Source organism: Homo sapiens, chromosome 5 (assembly GCF_000001405.40).
Source record: "Homo sapiens chromosome 5, GRCh38.p14 Primary Assembly".
NCBI lineage: Eukaryota > Metazoa > Chordata > Mammalia > Primates > Hominidae > Homo > Homo sapiens.
In genome coordinates, this window is record NC_000005.10 from 55,434,634 (window position 1) to 55,455,246 (window position 20,613).

General features: G+C 39.8%; 1 protein-coding gene across 4 annotated transcripts in view, besides 2 other annotated features; it reads right to left on the reverse strand.

The window, feature by feature from the left end:
- PLPP1 (phospholipid phosphatase 1) overlaps positions 1 to 20,613 on the reverse strand; it is a 110,111-nt gene that overhangs the window by 9,780 nt on the left and 79,718 nt on the right. For all 4 annotated transcript variants that reach the window (NR_103485.2, XM_006714724.4, NM_003711.4 and 1 more), the window contains one exon: positions 7,218 to 7,275. Coding sequence is in view for 3 of the 4 variants with exons in the window: in XM_006714724.4 (XP_006714787.1) it covers positions 7,218 to 7,275 (58 nt within the window). In the remaining variant the exon portion in view is untranslated. The remainder of the gene's footprint in view (positions 1 to 7,217; positions 7,276 to 20,613) is intronic.
- Positions 3,504 to 4,331: an enhancer, noted in NCBI's record as "H3K27ac-H3K4me1 hESC enhancer chr5:54733965-54734792 (GRCh37/hg19 assembly coordinates)". NCBI's record gives its function as "activates a minimal SCP1, AML or CMV promoter by ChIP-STARR-seq in naive H9 embryonic stem cells {active_cell/tissue: H9 hESC(naive)}" and the evidence as "EXISTENCE:reporter gene assay evidence [ECO:0000049][PMID:30033119]".
- Positions 6,822 to 7,360: an enhancer, noted in NCBI's record as "NANOG-H3K27ac-H3K4me1 hESC enhancer chr5:54737283-54737821 (GRCh37/hg19 assembly coordinates)". NCBI's record gives its function as "activates a minimal SCP1, AML or CMV promoter by ChIP-STARR-seq in naive H9 embryonic stem cells {active_cell/tissue: H9 hESC(naive)}" and the evidence as "EXISTENCE:reporter gene assay evidence [ECO:0000049][PMID:30033119]".

A 20,613-nucleotide genomic window follows, 5' to 3' on the forward strand; every position in this document is an offset into this window, starting at 1 on the left:
AGCCAACTGACTTTTGACAGAGGTACCAAGAACATACAATAGAGACAGTCTCGTCACTAAATGGTGCTGGGAAAATTGGATATCCATATGCAGAAGAATGAAATTGGACCCCTATCTCTCAAGTAAGTTGGATTACAGACTTAAATGTAAGACCTGAAACGATAAAACTAATCAAAGAAAACATAGGGGAAACGCTTCAGGATATTGGTCTGGGCAAAGATTTTATGGCTAAGACCTTGAACACAGAGGCAATAAAAATAGACAAATGGGATTATATTAAACTAAAAACCTGCACAGCAAAGGAAACAATCAGGAGAATAAAGAGACAGTCTGTTGAATGGGAGAAAATATTTGCCAAGTATTTATCCAGCAAGGAGCCAATATCCAGGACATATAAGGAACTCAACTCAACGGTAGAAAACCAAATACTCCCATTGAAAAGTGGGCATGGGGCATGAATAGACAATTCTCAAAAGAAGACGTACAAATGGCCAATAGGTATATGAAAAAATTCTCAATATCACTAACCAGGAAAATGCAAGTCAAAACCACAATCTTACCTCAGTTAGAATGGCCATTATTAAAAAGACCAAAAAAACATTAAGAGATGCTGTTGAGGATGCAGAGAAAAGGAACTCTTCTACACTGCTGCTCGGAATATAAATTAGTCCAGCCACCAGAGAAATGCAGAAAAGGGGGCCTAATCCGGGGAAGTATGCTGAGGGAGATGTGCAGTGGTAACTGGGCTTTTTAAAAGGTATTAATACAAGAGATCACCTGGTAACAGGGAGAATGGATGCGGAAGAATCTCCAGTCAGCTGCCCATACCAAAAAATGCTTTCCTTCCTTGATTAAAAAGGATGACTATTTCTAGTATTTATAGTCTCTGCTCCCAAATTTGGAGGCTATCCTGATATACATCAAGAGTAAATGTCATTTATCAAAAGAACACTTGAGTGTGCCACTAGTGTGATCCCTGCTGTAACGTACAGGAACACAACTCTAGAACTGGAAAGGAAGAGACATGGGTTTCCAGGACACACAAATTTTAAATGAAGATTAATAGGAAAAACAAAGATACATCATATTCTTCGCCTGACCTTCACACTCCTCCCTCCCCCATTTTCATCTATTAAAATGGGCTGGATATACAAATACCACAGGAACACAACATATGGCAACCCCGACGCCTCAGAAGGAAACCACAGTTAGGCTATTTCTATTCCTCCCTGTCTCTTTGTACTACAGTGTGCGCCTGTAGTCCCAGCTACTTGGGAGGCTGAGACAGGAGAACTGCTTGAACCCAGAAGGCGGAGGTTGCAGTGAGCCGTGATCACACCACTGCCCTCCAGCCTGGGCGACAGAGTGAGACTCTGTCTCAGAGAAAAAAAAAAAAAAAAAAACTTCTTAGCCGGGATATTACTAGAGATTCATACAAGCAATTTCCTATTTCTTAGAGCAATAAGGACACCAAGCATCACATTGCTCAAAATAACCAGGTGTTCAAGCCCAGAAAGGAGGGTTGCAGAAAGCTGGCCATTCCACCTGCAGGCAGCAAATGCTTCACTGAGAAGCACAGAGGCCTTCCTCCCAGTCCCAAATGATATGGCTTGGCTGTGTCCCCACCCAAATCTCATCTTGAATTCCCACATGTTGTGGGAGGGACCCAGTGGGAGGTAACTGAATCATGGGGGCAGGTCTTTCCCATGCTGTTCTTGTGATAGTAAGTCTCACGAGATCTGATGGCTTTATAAGGTGGAGTTTCCCTGCACAAGCTCTCTCTGCCTGCCGCCATCCACGTAAGATGTAACTTGCTCCTTCTTGCCTTCCGCCATGCTTGTAAGGCCTCCTAAGCCACGGGGAACTGGGAGTCCAATTAAACCTCTTTCTTGTGTAAACTGCCCAGCCTTGGGTATGTCTTTATCGGCAGCATGAAAACAGACTAATAAACCAACACTCCAAAACGTGTGGCTCCGCTTGTGAAGAGCCTCATGATAGTTTTATAAAGTGCACAAAGAAGACCTGGTCAAAACAAACGGAAGACTCTTCATTACACAGAGCCACATCAGGAACAAATTACAAGGTATGCCCATTTTTTCTTTTGTTTAAAAATTAATATTAAAAGAAACTAGAAAATTCAACATCTGTGATACTACTTAGGCATTCTTTCATTATCACTGAAGGGTGGTGCTATTGCCTGGATATTTGTGTTACCCCAAAATTTGTATACTGAATGCCTAACCCCCACAAGGCAATGGGATTAGGAAAATAGGACTTTTGTGGGTGATTAGGTCATAAGGGGTTAACCCTCATGAAAGGGATTAATGACCTAATAAGAGATCCAGGGGAGCTCCCTTGCCCCTTCCACTGTGTGAGGACATTCTACAACCTGGAAGAAGGCCCCACCATTACCCAACCATGCTGGCACCCTAATCTTAGACTTCCAGCTTCCAGACTGAGAAATTTGTTTTTTATAAACCACCCAGTCTGCTGCAATTGGTTATAGCAGCCCAAACTAAGACAGGAAGGATATATAACCATTTTTGGTTGAAATTTCTGAAACATTTAACTTCCATTAAAGGATCTAATTAGAATATCTCACCTTTAAAATAAATAATCGTTGAACGAGATATTTTTTGAAGCTGTTTTGATTTTGCCTTTCCTTGACTAATCTTGTTAACACTTCTTAACTGTAAAATGTTGTTATTGTCTCATAGCCTCTGAATATTCTATTGTTAATAAAGTAAGAACTTTTTTTTTTCCATTTTAAACTAGAGTCAAGGGGTTGGCTTGCAAGCTAAGAACATTTTTAAGGAGTTTTTTTTGTTTGTTTTTTCAAAAAAGAATATGTGACCTACAAAGCCTAAATATTTATTATCTGACCTTTCACTGAAAAAAAAAAAAATACCAACCCCAGAACTAGACTAACAACAGCAGGCTCAATGCAAAGAAATATACCTTGGTCTACTTATTTTGAAATAGTGCTTTTATGACTAGCCAGGCAAGCCAAATTGATTGCTCCACCTACATTTGATGACAGATCTGTCCAGAAGAACACTGGAAAGCAGGCCTCAGTTTAGTCTTCTTTGGGTTTTAATTTCACCATTTTTAGGATTCACTGAGGCACTAAATTTAGATCTTAAATCCCACCTCAAAATCAGACAAGGTTCGTAGGCTATGGGCCATGAGTTGTTCATCATTTGCCCAATGTTCAGCAATAATCAAGTTTGGAAAACATCACGAAGTATCAACAATGCTAGGAGGTATACAGTGAATGCTAAATGAGGGATTATATGAATCTTAAGGAAAGTGGATAGTATGAAAGAGTCTGAGTGGATTTAGATAGGTGGGCAGCACTGTCTAAACACAGGGCAGGGGCAAGGCCCAGATAAGAGGCATTTTGTGGCAGGAGGAGAGTCTGGCTGAAGCATAGATACAGGAATTTCATAACAGGCGGTGATATAAACAATCTGGGGTTACAGCCTCAATAGAAGGGTCTCAGGAAAAGTATTTTAACACTCCTCACTGTATTGAAAGAAAATACAGACTCATACCATGGCTGTTCTCCTGAATAATCAAATAAATTTGGAATCTCTGGCATTCAGCCAAGTTCACGGGGAGTCACTAAGCATATAAACTGGCTATGTGCAAAGCAGCCCTGCCCTGAGCTCCCGCAGGCCTGGGAGGTTTTCACTGATGCTGACACTCTCTTGGCACAGTTAAGTGTGCAGGGCTGCACTGGCTGCCAGAGAAGAACAATGGTCAGGGTGTTTTAAGAGCCATTTTTAACTAGAAGTTAATTTCTGGGTGTCAGGAATTGACAGAGAAGTTTTGGCTATCAAAGACTGTCCTAGGAGAGGATTTAAATGACTACGTCTCTACCCAAATCTGAGACTGACTCATGAAGCCAAGGTGCCCAGAGAAACAAGATGAGTCATTGCTCAAGGAATTCGGGGGTGGGGCTTAGAGGTTAAATGTTGTACATAGGCCAGGCGCGGTGGCTCACGCCTGTAATCCCAACACACTGGGAGCCCGAGGCAGGCGGATCACGAGGTCAGGAGATTGGGACCATCCTGGCTAACACGGTAAAACCCTGTCTCTACTAAAGATACAAAAAATTAGCCGGGCGTGGTGGCGGGCGCCTGTAGTCCCAGCTACTCTGGAGGCTGAGGCAGGAGAATGGCGTGAACCCGGGAGGTGGAGCTTGCAGTGAGCCGAGATCGCGCCACTGCACTCCAGCCTGGGTGAGAGAGCAAGACTCCGTCTAAAAAAAAAAAAAAAAGTTGTACATAAATGTAAAAAGCAAGGATCTGTGTATTCAGGGCTGAAATAAAAGCTGGGGCCTACATCCACATCAAGCAAATATTTCCACTACCTAGAGTCAGTAAAATGCAGTGCATGGTTGCTCTGGCCTGCTTTCTTCTCCAGAAAGGTCTTGGTCTACAACAAATCTATTTATCTAGGCTTCTTTTTTTGCCATTATAACTTTACATCTGTTAAATCAAACTAAAATCTGTCCTGAAAACCCCCTGCTCACATACTTGAGTTCTTCTGTACAAAGAACAACCTAATTTGGTAAGTAAGCAAACTGGGAGCCTGACTCAGGAATGTGCTTCTGTAACAGCAGCTGAGTCTCAGCCAGTCCCTGCAGCCATATTTCAACCACTCACAGCCATTCAAACCACGCTCAAATAAAGCTCCAAGGCCGAGCTGTAACCAATCCGGCAGTTTCTGCACCTCGCTTCCATTTTCTGTACTCACTTTCCTTTTTCTGTCCATAAATTCTCCCTGACCACTTAGAAGCAGTGGAGTCATTCTGAATCTGCAGTGACTCTGAGGGCTGCCCAATTTGAAAGTCGTTTCTTCCTTGCCCAGTGACACCCTTAAATTTATCTAAAGTTGTTCTTTTAACACAGTTGGTTCAAACTGACCCAATTACCACACTATGGTTGACATCATTTTCCCGAGTTGATATCCTTCATATGTGGCTGCATGTCCACTGAGCAGGCCTGCCACTGAGGCCCTCTATTATATCAATGTCATCCTCTCTATAGTAATTTTAATCTTTCACAAAACAGCCCTCAGTACAAGTTACTATTTGACCAATTACACAGACGTTAATGGGTGTTTTGAGAAGGGTCAAGGAAGAAGAGCAGAAAATGATGAAGTATGGAATATGTTATAGCTGAGAATTTTCTTTAAAATTACAAACAGTGGGTCAAAGTTATGTGTCAGTCACTTCCAGAATGCCATTTTACTTCCAGAGATCTGCATGAGCTGACCTTCAAAATAAATGGACTAGGGTTCAGACCAAGTAATCAATCAATCAATACAGCATGGGATCCTGATTATCAAGAAACCCCACAGAGCTCACAGAACTCAGCAGCCCCCTCCCAAGGTGCCTATTCCCTCACTTGTAAAACAGTGGCAGTCATCCCTCATCTTTTCATGGAAATTTAGTCAAAAATAAAAGTAGTGTAAAATGCAAATCATCATCAAGATCAATCAAAACTCAGATTTCTAGATTTCTCATAAAGAGGGACTTGGACACTAACACAGACAGGTGAGCGAAAAACAAACCACAATAGCTAGTGAGACAAAAGCTAGACCTAGTGAGGTCTAGCCCAGGGCATACAAAGCACGCCCACACATTCAAACGCCCTTCAGTCCAGTCACAGGCCCATGCTCTGGGAAGAGCTCTCAGGATAGTAACGGCTCTAGCTATTGCTCAGCCTTCCGGGTCTGCCCTGGTCCTCGTGCTCTAATTAAAAAGAAAAAAATATGTTGTCTCACTTAAGAAAGAATGCTGATTTTTTTCTAATATGATAAATGAACAGAAGATGTCAGAATAGTATTTTCTGCTAACTACCTTCAGATAAGTCACATTTTCCATGCTGCATCTGCAGAAACATTTGAGTGTGTGTCTTAAAAAGGAAGCCCTAAATTCTGCTGAATCATACTCTGTGCTTCTTCACAAAATTTAATTAATGTAAGATGAAAGCTTTGAAAATTAGCTGTTGTAATGGCTTGAGGTTCTGACTTTGAATTTTATATAACACATCTACAATTTACATATTCTTTTAATGTTTGGAATTTGTTTTTTCAAATAAAAGCAAGATTCTAGTAAAACATTTTAAATTATCTCTGAGACTAATTCCCATTAGTTTACCCTTAATGTTACATATTGTGCATTTTAAGTCTAAGCATTAAATTATCATACGGCACTTAATGTGATCAAAGGGAAAAACACAGGAAATGACAAATTTACACAGAACACAACTGTATAAAAATCCCCTTATAAAGAAAATTAAGACAAAAATTATAGCTGATCTATTAGGGTACAGATTTTCTAACCCTCCTCTCTGTTCCCCCTAAATAATGATAATGCAGGACATATTAATACACCCAAATATATAGTGTTTTATTAATACTTTATATGTAAAGAGAACATTATAAAAAAATAAAAATCAAGTAAAATTGACCTTTAAAAATCCCTTGAATGTGTCCTGAAGCCTGGTCTTGCATTAGTTACTCTCAAAAAACTACATATTCATCTCTAGTTTGATAATGCAAAATGTGGGTGCAAATCTTCGTAAGGCCTCACTGCCAGCTTTGTATGATGCAAATGCAAATTGCTATGCTGCTGCTCTACAGGTTGGCATCAGAACTGGACCTGGAAGTTGTATAGATGACAGGCTCCAGAAGTGGCAACTGCCTTTCCCAGCAGTTGAAACCTTTCTGGTCCCTTGCAGAGCACTCTGGGAATGTTTTAGAAAATGGGAGGAAAACAAAATCTGCTCAAATAGGAACAAGGACAGCTGCCTTCACTTAACAATGATCAAAACCCAACTCCTCACCACAGCAGAGCCCAGAAGGAAAGAAGCTCTGCTGCTGTTCGCCCACACTGAGCAGATGAGGAGAGTGGCTCCCAGTTAGGGAGGAGGTTAACAAGCAACAGCAGCCTGTTGTCCCAGTCCTTCAGATTAGTTACCTGCTGTGATTACACAGAAGCTGTGTTCCAGAAAACCACTTCAGGAAACGTCCCAAAGTAAGGGCACACATCAACTACTTCTCAGTATGAAACTTACAGATTTGCAGATCATCTGTTTCACCTTTTGCTACTGGCTAATTTATTAGGACAGGTGAGGACACTGATGCTGAGCACATTAATTCCATGCAGCACATAACCTAACCGTCAACAGACACAAAGTACTTACTGCCACAAACAGCATGCAGTACATGGAAAACGAAGAGTGGCCTGAATAGAAGGACAACCTGGAAGAAAAAGAAGACAAATGTTACTTTTCTCTCTTAGGAGCCAAAAGTATTGTTGATTTCATAAATCTGCTCCTTAGTTTCAGAGTGTACACAACTGCCTCCCTCTACTTTGAGAAATTAGAAGGGTACGGCAGGGGGACAATTAGGACATGAACATTAAAGAGTGCAAGAAGGATCTGAGGTCAGATCTCTATACAGTATCATTTTATTGAAACCTTCAGGATGGGTAATGTGTCATGAAAATAAACTTGCCAAGCAATTCTAAGATGTCAGAAGAATGATACTTGACAAGTCATAACTGGCACAAATTGCCTTGACTTTATTACATACACACTTATGTGACCATGATTTAAGTTTTATTTTCCACTTGCAGGATTAGTCCCTGAATAATGTCATACCTCCTTGGGAACACTCAGAAGTTGATTGCTTTTTTCCATCCATATTAATATTTTAGTATTTTGGCCCAGCGCAGTGGCTCAGTCCTGTAATCCCAGCACTTCAGGAGGCCAAGGCGGGCGGATCACGAGGTCAGGAGATCGAGACCATCCTGGCCAACATGGTGAAACCCCATCTCTACTAAAAACACAAAAATTAGCCGGGCGTGGTGGCGTGTGCCTGTAGTCCCAGCTACTCGGGAGGCTGAGGCAGAAGAATTGCTTGAACCTGGGAGGCAGAGGCTGCAGTGGGCCGAGATCGCACCACTGCACTCCAGCCTGGGTGACAGAGGGAGACGCCATCTCAAAAAAAAAAAAATTTGGTGTTTTAAATGGGCACACATCTTGCCTTACATTTCCCACCAAATTCAGTGCTTTTGTTTCTTTCAATATTAGAGTCTATAAACATCTAAGTATCATCTTCCCCACCTAAAAATGACAGAATGCTTACAAAACTTAATTTTGTGGCACTTCTGAGAAAAGAAAAATAGAGCTAACATTAAAGATCTAAGATTTGCTTATACAGAATGAGCCACTGATGCAGAAGAGGCAAGCACATCAGGCACAGTGAAAGTATGCCACGAAAAGATGCTCATGCAAATAACTAGAATGCATCTCCCAACCACTTTTCCCTACGTAAGAATAAGAACAAAAACAAGAGGGACCGGCTCTTAAGTAATTTACTTATTACACTCTGCCTTGTTCAAAAGGAATTTAAGGGAGACGTTGGTTCCCTGAATTCAGACAGGAGAGAAACCTCCTCACACACATACTGGAAAGTCACGTGTGTATGTTTGGCAGCTGCCAGTGGGTGGGAAAGAAAGGATTACTTAAAAAAAAAAAAAAAATATATATATATATATATATACACACACACACACACACACACATATATATGATTCTACCAAGAATTTTGATTGTCTTTTTGTAATCAGATACATGCCTAAGAAAGAGAATTCTGTAAATTCCTGTGCCAACCAGGAATTATGTAATTAAACCCAATAATTATTCTGGGTTTAGTCTACGTAAAGGAAGAAAAATAAATCACTTTTTAACCTTGCTATTTGACCACACAGAATGGATCAATACGAATAGTAATTTTAAATCAGATAATTAGAGCACAGCTCTGCATATTTTATAGTTTCAATGTTTTATTGAAGAGCCTACAAGTTAATAAAAGCCAATTTCAAGGATTGTCAAAGCCCACCAAGCCAACATATCCATAATCACAGAAATATTCTCAAAGCCAAGCAAGTGAGGTCTCACTAAATCCTTTACACTGTGCTATAAAATCATGAACTGCAAACTAATTTAGGTAATAGTTTTAAACAGCTCTGAATCAGCCATAGAATGATTTCATTTGTTGGTTTCCATTTTTTACACTGAATACAAAAACAGATATTTTATTCAGTATAGAATTTGTGAAGAAGTCTGGCTATGACTTTGACAGACAGGGATTAAAAACAAAGGGGTAATTCTATTCAATCTCAGTGTCTATGTCTTTATCCATAGTAATTTAACAAACAGATCATAATATGGTCTTTTATTTCTATTAAGCAAACAGAATAAAGCACAAAACAATGGAAATTCAAAGCATTCATATTCCATATAAATCTAACTCTTTATCGGAGTCTTTAGTAGATACAGCTCTTAAGGATATCTTATTATGACCAGAATTCACAAATAGACTAAATATCTGTATGGGTGGTTTAATAAATCCCAAGGAGTAGCCCAAATGCTTTTTTTTTTTTTTTGAGACAGAGTCTCACTGTATTGCCCAGACTGGAGTGCAGTGGTGCAATCTTGGCTCACTGCAACCTCCGCCTCCCGGGTTCAAGCGATTCTCCTGCCTCAGCCTCCCTAATAGCAGGGATTACAGGCTTGCACCACTGTGCCAGCTAATGTTTGTATTTTTAGTAGAGACGAGGTTTCGCCACATTGGCCATGCTGGTCTGGAACTCCTGACCTCATGTGATCCGTCGCCCTCGGCCTCCCAAAGTGCTAGGATTACAAGCGTGAGCCACCGCGCCCGGCCCCAAATGCAGTTTGTTTTCATCATAGTGACTTCACTGAAATGTTTAAGACTATGGCCCTGGCCTAAGAACCCTGCCCTTAGACTTTAACCAATTCTAGATTTTAACCAATCCTAGACTATCATCTCACTTCATTATAGCCTCTCTGATGAAGGCAAGTACAGTACAGTAACAATGTGAGCCAGCTTTCCAACCAAATCTTACGAAAATCTTCTCAGGAAGAAAATTTACGGAGAGAAAAATGTATTTTGAAATGCTGCTGTTTTCACTGACTCTGAGGGGTGGTCTACTGAACAATAAGCCAGCTTCAATTATTAAGTAAACTGATTTTGACTACATAAATCACTATGAATGGGATTCTATTTTGTGTGTGTGTGTGTGTGTGTGTGTGTGATGGAGTCTCGCTCTGTTACCCAGGCTGGAGTGCAGTGGCGTGATTTGGCTCACTGCCACCTCTGCCTCCTGGGTTCAAGTGATTCTCCTGTCTCACCCTCCTGAGTAGCTGGGACTACAGGTGCGCACCACCACGCCCAGCTAATTGTTGTATTTTTAGTAGAGATGGGGTTTCGCCCTGTTGGCCAGGCTGGTCTTGAACTCCTGACCTCAGGTGATCTGCCCGCCTCGGCCTCCCAAAGTACTGGGATTACAGGCGTGAGCCACCGCGCCTAGCCTGGGATTCTATTTCAAATGGCAACTTTATGATGTTTTTTTCCTCACATTTGCCAGCCAGGGCACCCCCTTCTCAGAGCTGATTAAACTTGGCCTGATCCCCAATATCATGGCATTGAGAGCATTCATAGCCATCTGCCTGCATCCGCCTGCCCCCATGCATGTGAGTTCCCTCCTCGACTGAGCATTCTTCTATCTCTGTGCTCCAACATCCACATCCATGTTCAGCCTCATAAATCGCAAAGACACAATCAAATCCATCCTTCATCAGCATCAAAAGCAATCAACTCATATAAAGCATATCTTAATTTAGTATTTTGGGGCTCAGAAGGAGGTTAAATCACAAAGAACCCAGCTGATCATCTCTGATCTCTTCCCACCACCTGACTTTCTTCCTTTCCTCCTCCCTACTCTCCAAAGTTAAAAAGCACAAAACAGATACATCTTTAGCTGTTTTCATTTGAAATATCTTTATTTTGCATTCACTCTTTTTTTTTTTTTTTTTTTTTTTTTTTGAGACAGAGTCTCACTCTGTCACCCAGGCTGGAGTTCAGTGGCCCAATCTGAGCTCACTGCAACCTCCGCCTCCTGGGTTCAAGCAATTCTCCTGCCTCAGCCTCCCAAGTAGCAGGGATTAGAGGCGCCTGCCATCATGCCTGGCTAATTTTTGTATTTTTAGTAGAGACAGGGTTTCACCGTGTTGCCCAGGCTGGCCTCAAACTCCTGACCTCGAGTGACCTGCCTGCCTCGGCCTCCCAAAGTGCTGGGATTACAGACATGAGCCACTGTGCCCAGCCTACATTCATTCTTGAATGATGGTATTCCTGAGTACAGAATTCTAAATTGATGACTTTTTTTCTCATCGCTTTGAGGCTATCATTGCGCTATCTTCTGGCTTCTGCTTTTGCTGTTAAAATATAAGCCATCTGTCAGCCAGTTCTTTCTGGGTAATCTGTCTTTTCTCTGTAACTGCTTCCTCTCCTCCTGCCCCCATCAATCAATATTCTAGTTTTACTGCATTGTGTCTAGTACTAGGATTTCCTTTTATTGCTCTAGTTTAGTATTCATTGGCTTCTTCTATCTGAGGACTCACCAATTTGTAGAAGTCCTCAGCCACCTTTGCATACTGGGCATCCTCCATCCTCGTACCTTTCTATGGGATGCTGATTCAACACGTAAGACCTTTGCATTCTATTCCTCCAGATCTCTTACCCTTTCTTCTCTATTTTTCATCTAGGTCTCTTTAGGTGTATCTTTCATTTTGTCATCCCTTTCACTGTATCTAATCTGCTTAATCAATATGTTACACTGTAAATTTTAAATTACCATATATGTATCATTTACAAATCCCTTTGGTTCCAAACCTACTTGGCCAACTTTGATTCTCTTCATCCCACATCATATTTTCTATCTCCTCTTATTTTAGTCTACACCTGGTAATTCTAATATCTGTAATCTCTTTGAGAGTTTAGGTAATTTGTTGTATTTGCTGACTGTCTCAGGGTAGCTTGTTTCCACATAGGTCCATTTATATTAGAATGAAGTCATTAGGACTCTATCTGAGGGGAATCTTTGAGCCTTGGTTTAAGGAGAGTTCCTCCAGAGAAGGTATGTGTTCACTTATGCTGGGTTCACTACCAATACACTTTAAACTTCAAGCTTTTTTTCCTTTTCCTTCCTAAACCAAATAGTATGAATTCTTGCTCCAGACCAGTGTGAGTGTGGTCCTGTGTTTAAGAATTCTTTTTAATAGCTCCCACGGGGAGGATGCTGCCACTCTTCGGGAGTTCTCACATTATCCACATGTCTTTTATGTCCTCTTCCCCGGCCTCAGCCTTTATATCTGTGCCCCATGTTCACTGCCTATCAAAACTCAGTGTCTATGCCACCAGGAACCGGCAGATACTTTCAAGGACCACACTGGATCTACAGCACTAACTGACGCAGGCCTCAGAAAAATCCCTTTACTCTCCCACCAGCTAAACTATTTACTAAAAACACTTAAATGTGTTTCAAGATGTGTATATATAATTTAAGATACAGTATACACAAGTGTGTGTGTAACGTATCATGTAGCACGTTTAGCTGAACTATTATCAGTAGGCACTTCTAATCCTCCATGTTACCAGAAATAGAAGCAGGCTTTTTTAAAAGAACACTTAGAACTAATGAAATGCTATCTAAAATCAGTCACTTTACTAACAGACAAAATAGTTTCAGCAACAGCGGTTTGTTTTTAATTATACAGTGACCAATGCTCAAAAATGTTTCAAATTATTACTATACCACCATTTCCCCCAGGTATGCCAAAGTTGGTTCTGCTACAAATTAGAATTTCCTTTTTCCCCTAAAAATCATCCTGAAATTGATTCCCAAAGCATTATAAGGCAGAAAGGTTGTTTAAAGACTTATAATTGTTACAAGTTACTGAGTATGTTCAGGTACTTAATACACAGCGTTTCTACTTTCACAAAAACTCTCGTGCTCACACAGAGATAATGATTCTCAGACAGGTTCAGTAACTTGCTCGAAAAGTCACGTCTCTGCAGCTCAAATCTGAGTCTTCCCAACTCTTTCTGTGCCATGATTTCACTCTTGTCAATGGTAGACAGACAAAGAGGAACTTTAATCCTGCCATCTCCAGGCAGGGGAGTTCCATCACAAAGTACAGTTTACATGTGGCAAAATGTGTAAAGTAAATATACGAAGAAGAAATTAGACTTAATCCATGAAGAAATAGATGTTGTCAATGTAAAAATTGTCTTCTTTAGAGACAGGGTCTCGCTCTGTCACTCAGGCTAGAGTTCAGTAAATAATCATTTTAAGTGAATACCAATTTGTCTTTTTTGTACACTCTAAATGCAAAAAAAAGGAAATCAAACCATAACGAGGCATTTTCTCAAATGTTATTTCCTGATTATAAAGTTTATATAACAGCAGATTAACCTGAAGTATAGCATAAGTTCCCCTCTCTGATAATCTGTAAACATGGACTGATCCTATAAAAAAGTTAAAATGTCCTGTACAAATGCTACAAATGGATATATGAGCAATGACCTCTTAATGAACATAAACTTTTCCTAAGTATATTAGTCATAGTTTATTTCAGAAAGATTTTGACAATCGATAACTGTGCTAAATGATTTGGCAATGAGATATCAGATTATTATCTACAAGAATCTCACATCTAAGATACTTAAGGAATCAAGTAGGTGATGAATGAGAAAATGAGCACTCTCATATTGCACACTTTCTGGAGGATGGTTTGGAAATATCAATCAACATAGGAAAAATGTATTATGTGACCCAGTAATTCCACTTTGAGGTATGTCTCCTAGAGAAATGCAGACGTTTACTGCAACACTGCCGGAAACTCAAGGACCCAAGGAAGATTCTAGCACCTTTTTTTTTTTTTTTTTTGACAGAGTCTTGCTCTGTCGCCCAGGCTGGAGTGCCGTGGTGCAATCTTGGCTCACCACAACCTCCACCTCCTGGGTTCAAGCGATTCTCCTGCCTCAGCCTCCCAAGTAGCTAGGATTACAGGCGTGCGCCACCACACCCAGCTAATTTTTGTATTTTTTGTAGAGATGGAGTTTCACCATGCTGGCCAGGCTGGTCTCAAACTCCTGACCTCAGGTGATCCACCCACCTCAGCCTCCCAGAGTGTTGGGATTACAGGCATGAGCCTCCGCACCCAGCCGATTCTACTAGCATTATTCTGAATACTGTCGCCCCATGGTATCTGTGGGGAACTGGTTCCTGGACCTTCCAAGGATACCAAAATCCATGGATGCTCAAGTCCCTGATATAAAATGACACAGTATTTGCATATAACCTACACACATTATCCCATATACTTTAAATCATCTCTAGATTACCTCCAATACCTAATACAACGTAAATGCTATGTAAATAGTTGTCCTACTGTATTGATTAGGGAATAATGGCAAGAAAAAAGTCTGTATACGTTCAGTACAGATGCAATTTTTTTCACAAGTATTTTCAATCCACAGTTAGTTGAATCCACAGATATGGAGAACTGATTGTACAACATATTAACTAAAATGAATAGCTCTATGTGAACTGATACAAGCTGTGTCTCCAAGACATATTTTAAATGTTACTTATTTAATCCACACAAACTATACAATTTCACATTCAATATAAAAATACATAGCAAAATGACTGAAAGGAAATACAAACTATTAACAGCAGCTCCAGGGAAAGGTATCAAATGGGGGTTAAACTAAACTTTCACATAACACGGTGATAATACTGGAAACACAACTTGATGTAAAAGGGATAATATATATGTGACAATATTTTAAAGTAATGGTTGTCAAAATATCTGACATGCCTGCTACAGATTTCTTACAAATCTCTTCCCCGCCAAATACACACACACAGTCTACATTTCTCTTCCTAATAGTTTCCCCAAGAGTTTCTTGGCTAAAAGTGCCACTACTCCGAGTATAAACACAGCTCCCTACCTACAAACTCATGCCCAGAACCCAGCAGTGAATCGGGCCCTGTTCTCACATCTTGCAGTTAAAATGTTTTAACATATATATGTATTTATAAATACCGCATGTTTTGTTTCCAATAAAAATATACAATATACATATAATTTAAAAGGAAGTCAAATTACAACATGAGGCATTTTCTTCAAATGTTTCTTCAAATGTTTGATACCCTGAAATTCAGTAAATTAACTCTGCCATTTTTATAACTAATGCAGCTAATAAATATACTTAAATACTGAATGTTTAGGAAGGGGAGGCTTTTTAAAGAAATCACATTTCTAGAAATGTCTAGAACTATAAGAAACACAGGGTACCTCTCCCAAAGGGTACAGAGATGAAGGTAATAAATGGTAAAGGAATATAAAACGGTCCCCACCAAAATTAACTAAAATATAATATAACAAAAAATTATATAGACTCATCTTATTTCCTTGAACCACCTAGAAAGTGAGAAATTGTTTCATTTGCAGCAAAAAATCCTGTCATATACTCCTTGAATTATTTTTACAATTATTTTAATACATTTCCATTTAAAGCTACTCTATTATATAGGTCAATTTTAACCAAGCCACATTACATAGAGAGACACATACCCATCTGAAATAAGACAGAAGTGACTATTCTATTTTAGTCATTAATTCCTCAAATACCACTCCACAGCCACTAACATCTGTGAATCACATGCCGAGTGACTGACATCTACAGATATTAGGTCATAAACCTTAAAGGAGAGAAACTAGCAGGAACATGGACAATGAAAAAAGAGTGGGGAAATGTAGGACACAGTAGGTATGTGTGTAGGGTATTTAGAACTTGTTATCATGTGTGTCTTCTGTTTCTGGAAGAATCTTGCAAAAAAACGAATCTAGAAAATAGGAGGTTGCTGAGAATCTTAAGATAAAGGAAAGCAGAACTCGGTATATCTTGAAAATAACATGACTGGGAAAGAAATGCTTCCAAACTCTCAGCAGGGAAACTTGGTGACTACTGTAACAGATGAGGAGAGATGAGGCTGTGACGAAGGCTGCTGACAAAAAGGGTAAAACACATACAACTACTAACCAGGGGAAGGAAAGATCATAAGTTTCCTTGGTTATTAAGGAAAATTCATGACCTCATACAAAAATACTCCAAATCACCAAAGCCACTTTACCTAACAGTAAAACTACAGTCAAAAAGGAAACAAGGGACAAGCGGTGGATGAAACGAACGATACACTGTGCGTCACTCCTTTGCAGGCAACTGTAACACCTTGCCCACCACCCATCCCCTTTGTAAAAACACTGAACAAGAAGACTCCCTTGCTAAAAGGTAAATTCTTTCAGAATAATACAGAAGGAAGAGACAATTTTAAATCACTTTCTAAAGTACGCATTGTTATTGTTTTAAGAGGCAGGACTGCTAACTAGAAACGAGACCCTGAGACTTCTACTCTAAGCCCTCACTCCAAAAGACAACACCAAGGCCAAGAACATCTACTACAACCTGGCAGTAGGCTCCACTTATGACCCTCCTGCAGATAATGAAATCATCACTCTTGGTGACTAGGGTCAAGAAAGATAAGCCTTAGCTGGTGCAGTAGCTCACGCCTGTAATCCCAGTGCTTAGGGAGGCCAAGGTGGGAGGCCCACTTGAGCCCAGGAGTTTGAGATCAGCCTGGGCTACACAGTGAGACCCTGTCTCTACAAAAAAAATTTGTTTTAATTAGGCAGGCGTGATAGTAAAAAAGAAAGATAACGCTCAAGACACCAATAAAAGTGTTTTTAGTATTATGCCAATACAGAAATTTAGATTTGAGTTGAAGGAGACACCACCAATGGCAAGAGAAGGCAAAAGCCCACACAAATGTAAAATTATTAGAGCCCAGTAGGAGGCTGCCAGACAGGTCACCTCCTATTCCTTTAAGATTAAAACCAGACGATGTCACTACAGCTCATGTTACCAGGAGGACTAACACAGTGCCACAATAATTCACTTAGAGAAACCTTTTTTTTTTTTTTTCTTTTTTTGAGACAGAGTCTCACTCTGTCGCCCAGGCTGGAGTGCAGTGGCATGATCTCGGCTCACTGCAACCTCTGCCTTCCGGGTTCAGGCAGTTCTCCTGCCTCAGCCTCCTGAGTAGCTGGGATTACAGGTGTGCACCACCATGCCTGGCTAATTTTCTGTATTTGTAGTAGAGACGGGGTTTCACCCTGTTGGTCAGGCTGGTCTCAAACTCCTGACCTCGTGATCTGCCCACCTTGGCCTCCCAAAGTGCTGGGATTATAGGCATGAGCCACTTACCCAATAGACAAAGGCAGAAAAGTCACATTTCCTTCAGTATCCCAAGCCCTTCTGCTGTTAGAGAAAAGAAACCAATTCTTATCGTACAACATTTAGGTGCCCATTTTAGTATATTTAAAGAGTGGAAAGCTGAATAATTTTTACAAGTATAGGAAAAAAAACATGAGCTTGTTACTCTCCTGCTTCAAGTCCTTCACTAGAACAAACTGTTGAGCAAAGAGTAAACACACTCTTCCTAAGCCCCAACAGCTCCAGAACCATCACTTGCCAACAAACTACTTGATATAGTTTGGATGGGCATCCCCTCTAAATCTCATGTTGAAATGTGATCCCCAATGTTGGAGGTGGGGCCTAGCGGGAGGTATTGGATCACTGGAATGGATCCCTCATGAATGGTTTAGTGCCATCCCCTTGGTGATGAGTGAGTTCTCACTCAGTTCACATGAGATCTGGTTGTTTAAAAGAGTCTGGGACCTTCTCTTTCCCTGTCGCTCATGTGCCATGTGGTATGCCTGTTTCCTCCTTCACCTTCCACCATGACTGTAAACTTCCTGAGGCCCTCACCAGAAGCCAAGCAGATGTTGGTGCCATGCTTACACAGCCTATAGAACCATAAGCCAAAATAAACCTCATTTATTAATTACCCAGTCTCAGATATTCCTTTATAGCAATGCAAAACAGTGTAATACACTACTTACAGTTCCCAACATATCTGTTCCATGTTGTTTATTCAACACCTTTGCCTGAAATCAGCTCCACACCTCTCTTTGGTAATTATTACTTAAGAGTCAATTCAGCCCCTGTTTCCTCCAAGAAACCTTTCCTAAAAATCTAGATTGAATTTATGGATCACCCTTTCTCTGAAGAGCACTCAATTAACATATCAATCATAGCCCAACCTGTTATGTTAAAATCATCTGTTACTGAACCTTCTTCCCCAATTACATCAAAAGCTGGGCAGGCTGGGTAGAATAAGATGTTTTAAATAGGTTTGACAGTATATTTTTAGTTGCATAAGATATGTTAATTATTTTTAAAAATCAGAAGGTACACCAAAACAAAAGAAAAATTACTGGCAAACTCCCATCCTCCCTGATTGAGATCACATCTTAATTCATGTCATACTCTTAACACCCTGCAGCATTATCGAACATAGAGTAGGTATTCAATGTGGTTTTTTTCCTTTTTTGCTAAAGTAGAATCTAAACTATTGAGTAATAAAGTTTTATTTAATTATCCAAGATAATCCTTACACTTTTCAAATTTAAATGTCATAAACAATTTCACCTTCTCTCCCACCCACATGCATCGAGTATCAGTTTAAATGGCTTCACAAGAAGTATACTTTAACAACTTATGTTTTGACAGTTATAAAAATACATTAATAAAACTAAGGAATATACTTTATCATGTAATTAAATGCTATATACTAATAAATTACATCAAGCCACTAAGTTATCTAATTTAGACACCTTACTGCCTGATGTATTTTCCCCTTTCAGTGATTAGAAATTTGGACTTCCTCATCAAAACCGAGGAGCATTAGGAAGTCCAGTTTAACTTCCCTCTCTTGTCATTCTTTTGTCAGAAATCTTGGGCAGTGTCAAAGAACATTAGCTTAAACAAGCAGAACTTAATGCATCTTCCCCAACACATCTGGCAAGTATTGGAATAATGTGTGCAAAATGCCTCAAATTTCTTTTTCCATTATGGTCAAAGGCAGTCAGATTAACTGAGTAAATAATATTCATAATGATTAAATACAGATGTATCCTGTTATAAATTTTTTAAAATTCAAGTCTTAGGCCGGATACCGTTGGCTCCCACCTGTAATCCTAGCAATTTGGGAGGCCAAGGCTGGAGGATCACCTGAGTTCAGGAGTTTGAGAACAACCTGTCCAACATGGTGAAACCCCATTTCTACTAAAAATACAAAAATTAGCCGGGTGCAGTGGCACACACCTATGATCCCAGCTTCTCAGGAGGCTGAGGCAGGAGAATCGCTTGAACCCAGGAGGTGGAAGTTGCAGTGAGCTGAGATCATGCCACTGCACTCCACTCTGGCCAACAGAGCAAGACTCTGTCTCAAAAAAAAAGAAAATTCAAGTCTTAAAAACATGCTCAAAACAAACGTAAGCAGCACAATAACAAACCACAAACCATAAGAAGAAAGGACTTAGGGGCTGTCTGAATTCTATTTCCCACTGCCTATGTGAAGATTTTCTCAATTTTTACAGGAGTATTTCTGTTCTTCCAGAAACCAAAAGTCTTCCAAATTGCCCATCTTCACATGCAAAAGTTTATAAACATTACCCCAGAAGCAAAACATTGCTTCTGAGTTGCAATATATTATGTAAGAAAAAATAATTGATTAACATAATATAAACATAAAAGTTAGCCAATCCTATATCTCCCTCCTATATCTCCCAAGTTTATTATATAAACGAACAGTACTGTTATTAGATAATATTATCTAATGTCTCTGCAAACCTCATTCTCCCAGAAGAGTGGCATTAGAAATTCTGTATCAACAAAAGCTTTTTCTGTCTGTCTGCTCAATAGAGAATGACATCACAGGAAATCAAGATCCAGACAGGTCAATAGGTTACTGGTCAGTAAATTAGCTGGTCCAGGCGAAGCTGGGGCCATTTTGGTACAGCAAATTTCTGTACTCCTCAGGGGCTATTATTGGTTTTCTTACTCACATATTCCCTGGAGACTAAGTAGCACTGCTTTTTGCCTACAAGCCTAAATTGTCAGGTACTGACATTAAGAACAGGGAAGCTGGAAAGAGGTACTGATCTTTAAGTCACATTCCTGTTAAATACAATAATAATATCCTCTCACAAAGTGAAGGATCTTTTTAAATCATCCCCTTCTTCATTTCATATGTTGCTATTCCTACACAGGTATATGATTTAAAAAGCTGTCTAGTTACTGACATACATATGCATGAGAAATACAAGCCTTAACAAATGAATCCTTTAGCATCATAAATGCTTACCCAGTAATGTCTACAATTAGACCATATTCTTCTTCAGCCATTTTCTCAAAATGTAAAGCCAGTTGTACTAGGTACGTAAGTACCACACCCAGCCAGTCTAGTTATAATGAGTTTTCCTATGATAGAAGGCATTTCCTCAAACTTCAGCTTTATTTTATCTGCATGTGGGTTGCATTTAAGAAAGGAAATTTATTTCTCACATTCAATCATATATACTGCAAGTAAGCATCTGAAGAATACAAGGCTTCCATAATCCAAACAAAAATAATTTTGTATTTAAATCTGATTCATACAGCCAGAGATCAGTTACTCAGAATGGATCAGAAACACTGGGCCTGTGCTAAAACATACACAATTTAAATAAAAGCCAGAAAAAAAGAAAAAAAAAG